The sequence below is a fragment of the Homo sapiens genome, chromosome 4 (assembly GCF_000001405.40).
Source record: "Homo sapiens chromosome 4, GRCh38.p14 Primary Assembly".
NCBI lineage: Eukaryota > Metazoa > Chordata > Mammalia > Primates > Hominidae > Homo > Homo sapiens.
In genome coordinates this window covers 131,010,573-131,015,613 of record NC_000004.12, presented here as the reverse complement: position 1 = coordinate 131,015,613, position 5,041 = coordinate 131,010,573, and the positions used below count along the sequence as shown (strand labels likewise).

The following is a 5,041-nucleotide window of genomic DNA, read 5'->3' as shown; positions in this document are numbered from 1 at the left end:
TCATAGAATACATTTAGTAAACACACTCACGCATGGTTTAAGATGTGTTAAATTTGTTTTGGTTTGGTTTCTTCCATGATAGCTCCTAGTTTCTGTTCACCTCTCTTCTCAACTTAATATTGGATGCCTCGAAAGTACTATATTTGATAGGAAATACACATCCTCAATCTGATCTTTGCTCTGAGTAATTTGGATTGAGATGATTTGTGGGTGGGGAGGGAAAATAGGGTTTGGAGGCAGGGAACATAAGGCCGATTCACACTTCACCTATGACAGGAAATATCATCTCCATAGGGCATAGGCCAAGTAAACTACTTTGTAACTTTACTTCATCATCTCCTTTTATATAGGGCATACCCAAAGTAACTAATAAAATCTTCTATGGGATATTTAAACTCCAAAATATTCTGTAATGGACTTTTGAGCCCCTATGCTCAGGCCCACTCCCACACTATGCAGTGTACTTTCATTTTCCACAAATACCTTCCTTGCTTTGTTTGTGTGTTTTGCCCGATTCTTTGTTCAAGATGCCAAGAACCTAGACACCCTCCACCATTTGCATATTTTGACGAGCCAGCCAGGAGGAAAAGGTAAGCCCAAAGACTGGGATTCATTCTTCTTCTTTCTCCTTTCCCTTTCCGCTCCATATAGGGAATCTCTTTTCCTTTCCCACCTAAGAAACTTGGTGGGAAGTGCCTAAACATGGAAGCGACAGCAGGTTTCTGGCTATGGCTAGTGAAACTGAGGGGTTTCCATGTGAAGAAGCCTGACTACCACCACCACCCAGTTCACTTAAGGAATCTGGGCCTTTTTCAATATATATATATTTTTTTCTTTCCTTATTTTTCAGTCTTCAGCAGCTTCTTCCTTGTGTCTTCTTGGAAATTGAGGGCAATTGGTTGGCATCACTCCCTGGTACTGCCTGAAGGCCTAGAAATGAATGGGAATAATTGTCCTGTCCCAAAGGTGGAGGGACTTTTTTTTAATCTTTTCCACACATGGTCCCTGATCCCTACGTGTGGTACAGCTTGAAGCAAACTCTCACGTGTTTCAGGCAACTTAAACCTTCTTTACTCATGCTAAATTCTTCCCTTCCCCTATTCAACTGGCTAAGGGCAAAGAAACCCACCAAGTTCTAGTTCCTATCATTAAAGTTCATGGAATGCAAAGCATGGGAAAGCGTGGCCTTATCAAATTATAAGGTTGCTAGAAGTCAGAGATTACACCCAGGTACCAAGGTAAAGCTCATAGCAGGCTCTGGAGGGAATGTATGCAAAGTGGCTTGGATGCCCACCTAAGTAAGGCCAGAGACATCTGGAACTCTAAGATTGGACCCCACAGGAGAGCACTCTGTTGATCCTGCAGACCTCAACCTGCCCAAAGGGGACACTCTTAGCAGAGGTTCTGAGGTCTCGTATTAAATTCTCCTTAGAATTTTCTCGCAATTGCAATGCTGCTTGGCCCCGAAATTGTTTAAAATCTGAGGTTTACTGTCTAATGGGAAAGTGAGATGGCATTGCATGTATCCACGCTTTTGTGCTGCTATTGTAAGCAGGGTGCCTGGCTAATATGTGATGCCCTCCTTTGGTACTGTTTGGCCCCAGTGCTCCTTGGAGTATGGGGAGGTTTACTTTAAAACTCAAACTGCCATGGAGACTGCTTTACCCGAAATTTTGGTTCCCAGCCTTCCTTGGATTACCTATTGGGTCAAAGTAAAACCGGAAAGCTTGTATTGCTATCTTATGGCTAAGGTTCCCAGCTATTGAATCTTCATTTGTGTGTGTGAATACATGTCTAGATGTGTTTATTTGTATGTACACTTACTGTTATATGTTGTGTGTACCAAATTGGCTTATAAGCAAAAGAGCACTCATAAATTAAGTAAATATGTCTAAGCAATTTTCAAGTTCACGTGACCTAAGTATAACTTTACTAAACAGGCTAGCTTTAAAATTATTGGTGGAATAAAAATAGAAAGGCCTTCAGAATTGTCAGCATACATTTTGTCTGAATTTTATGTTTTGTCTTTGCTAGATATTTTTAAATGTCAGTGTTAATTCAAGCTGGGAGCTGCTTGGGACGAGCCTGCCTCCCATTCTATTCAAAGTCTCACTGAGATAAATGCATATCTGATTGCTTCCTTTGGAAAGGGTAATCAGAAACTCAAAAGAATGCAACTGTAGGTCTCCCACCTGTGATCTGAGAACCCCCAAGTCCCCTCCTCACCTTGAATTGTCCTGCCTTTCCAGGACCAAACCAATATTTGTTTTACATATGTTGATTGATATTTCAAGTCTCCTTTGTTAAAAGTAAAAAACTAAGTACAGTGAATAGGATAATTGTTTTAGGTAAACCTTTTGTGTAAATTAAAATCTTAAAGATATTTTTAATGCTTGTTTTATATCTGGATCATTTCCAATTAATAAAGAGTTGTAATATAGACAAATATATTTCTAAAATTGTGGACTTGTTCTTATCTATAAATGTCCTTATCTTCATAGTTCAAGATTTCTTCCTTTTTAGGGTTTCACTAAAGTTTTCTGTTACTAAGGATAAAAAATTTAGTTCACACGTAATTCTGTATAGAAAATGTGCCAGAAAGGCTTATGTTATTAGTGAAAAAAAGGAATAATTTTGTCTAATTCAGAAGTTATCTAAAAGTTAGTTCAAATTACAGATTTGAAAAGGTTATTTATGAAATGATGTAGTGAGGAATCATTAAGTAGGGGAGAAAGATGTGGAAAAGTTTAAATAATAAAATATTCTTTAAAATCTGATAGCAGTTTGGAGACATTTGGCTAATTAACATTTTCGTAGTTAAAGCTCTTAGTCTTGATTAAAGTTAAATAAGAAGTATTATGAAAATGCATCAGCAGTTTGGCAATTCTTTTTCTACTATAGTTAAGCATGAAGCTGGATTTAGTGTTGAGTCAAATTTCACATACATGTTTGCATTACTTCACACTATTTTTACAGTTTCGTGTGGAAAGTGCTAGAGTACTTATTAGTCATGTGCCTAAAATGAATTTCTTGATTGCATAGAATGTATAATGATATTGGTAAACTTAAGCATATTGAATTAAGTATGAGGAACAAAATATCCATTATGTGGGTTTTTTGAGGTCCTAGGTAACACTGTAACCTCCAGGGTAAGTTGAGTAGGATAATTTAGGGTTGGTTTCCTGCTTATTTATTTTTGCTTTGAGTTTTCATTCATTTGCTGTTTATTCTCCTCTGCCTTTGCTTGTGTATGCATGTATATATAAAACCATGATTATTTTAGTTCCGAGTTTCACTCACGTCCGTGTTAAGAGACCACCAAACAGGCTTTGTGTGAGCAACAAGGCTGTTTATTTCACCTGGGTGCAGGGGGACTGAGTCTGAAAAGAGAGTCAGTGAAGGGAGATAGAGGTGGGGCTGTTTTATAGGATTTGGCTAGGTAAAGGAAAATTACAGTCAAAGAGGGTTGTTCTTTAGCAGGCAGGGGCGGGGGACACAAGGTGCTCAGTAGGGGAGCTTTTGAGCCAGGATGAGCCAGGAGAAGGAATTTCACAAGGTAATGTCATCAGTTAAGGCAGGAACAGGCCATTTTCACTTTTTTTTGTGATTTTTCAGTTACTTCAGGCCATCTGGATGTATACATGCAGGTCACAGGGGATATGATGGCTTAGCTTGGGCTCAGAGGCCTGACATTCCCGTCTTCTTATATTAATAAGAAAAATAACATAAAATAGTGTTGAAGTGTTGGGGCAGCAAAAATTTTGGGGGTGGTATGGAGAGATAATGGGCAATGTTTCTCAAGGCTGCTTCGAGTGGGATTAAGGATGGTGTGGGAACCAAGAGTGGGAGAAATTAAGCTGAAGGAAGATTTTGTGGTAAGGGCTGATAATGTGGGGTTGTTAAAAGGAGCATTTGTCATATAGAATGATTGGTAATGGCCCGGATGTGGTTTTGTATGAATTGAAAAACTAAATGGAAGACACAAGGTCCAAATAAGAGAAGGAGAAAACCAGATATTAAAGGACTAAGAATTGGGAGGACCCAGGACATCCAATTAGAGAGTGCCCAAGGGGGTTCAGCGTAATTGCTTGCTTGGTTGGTGAATTTTTCGGCTCTATCCAAGTTTCTATTAAAGTGGCATTAATGATGGAGGACACTTGCATAGTGAGGCAACCTCTTTTTGCCCGTATAACAGCATGGTGGTGCAGGATATGGAAGGCATATTTAGAGTCAGTATAAATATTGATGCGTAGTCCTTTTGCAAGAGTGAGGGCTAGAGTTAAGGCAATGAGTTTGGCTTGCTGAGAGGTAGTGGAGGGGGGCAGAAAGTGTATGTGTCAGAAGTGAGGAAGAAAATAGATTTTGGAAGTTATGAGAACTATAGAGAGTGAGTTGAGCATAGTTTGTGATATTGAGGGCCTCTAAAAGTATTAAGGCAGCGGCAGCCGCCACACACAGACATGAGGGCTAGGCTAAAACAGCAAGGTCAAGTTGTTTGGATAAAAAGGCCACAGGGTGCGGTCCCAGTCCTTGTGTAAGAATTTCGACCACACAGCCCTGCACTTTGGCTGTGTGTGATGAAAAAGGGTTGGGATGAGTTAGGGAGAGGTAGTGTGGGAGCAGTCTCTAAAGCTGCCTTCAAGGAATGAAAAGAGTAGTGGGGAAAGGATTTAGGATCTATGGGGTCAGCTAGGTTTCCTAGAACAGAATAATGAGTTGTGGAGGGAGGTATTGAGGATAGGAGAGTATATGGGTTTGGCACCATGGGGTGGATAGGCAGAACAACTTGGTTGATAAGGCGTAGATCCTGAACTAACCTGTAAGGCTTGTCTGGTTTTTGGACAGGTAAAATGGGATAATTGTAAGGAGAGTTTATAGGCTTTTAAAGGCCATGCTGTAGCAGGTGAGTGATAAAAGGCTTTAATCCTTTTAAAGAGTGCTGTGGGATGGGATATTGGCGTATAGAGGTGGGAATGCCAAACTGAGGAATTATGTCTTACAGAAGGGAAGAAATGACTGTGGTGGCCTTTCCAGACCCTGT

General features: G+C 39.9%; 1 annotated feature.

The window, feature by feature from the left end:
• Positions 1,896-2,427: an enhancer, noted in NCBI's record as "OCT4-NANOG hESC enhancer chr4:131934342-131934873 (GRCh37/hg19 assembly coordinates)". NCBI's record gives its function as "activates a minimal SCP1, AML or CMV promoter by ChIP-STARR-seq in naive H9 embryonic stem cells {active_cell/tissue: H9 hESC(naive)}" and the evidence as "EXISTENCE:reporter gene assay evidence [ECO:0000049][PMID:30033119]".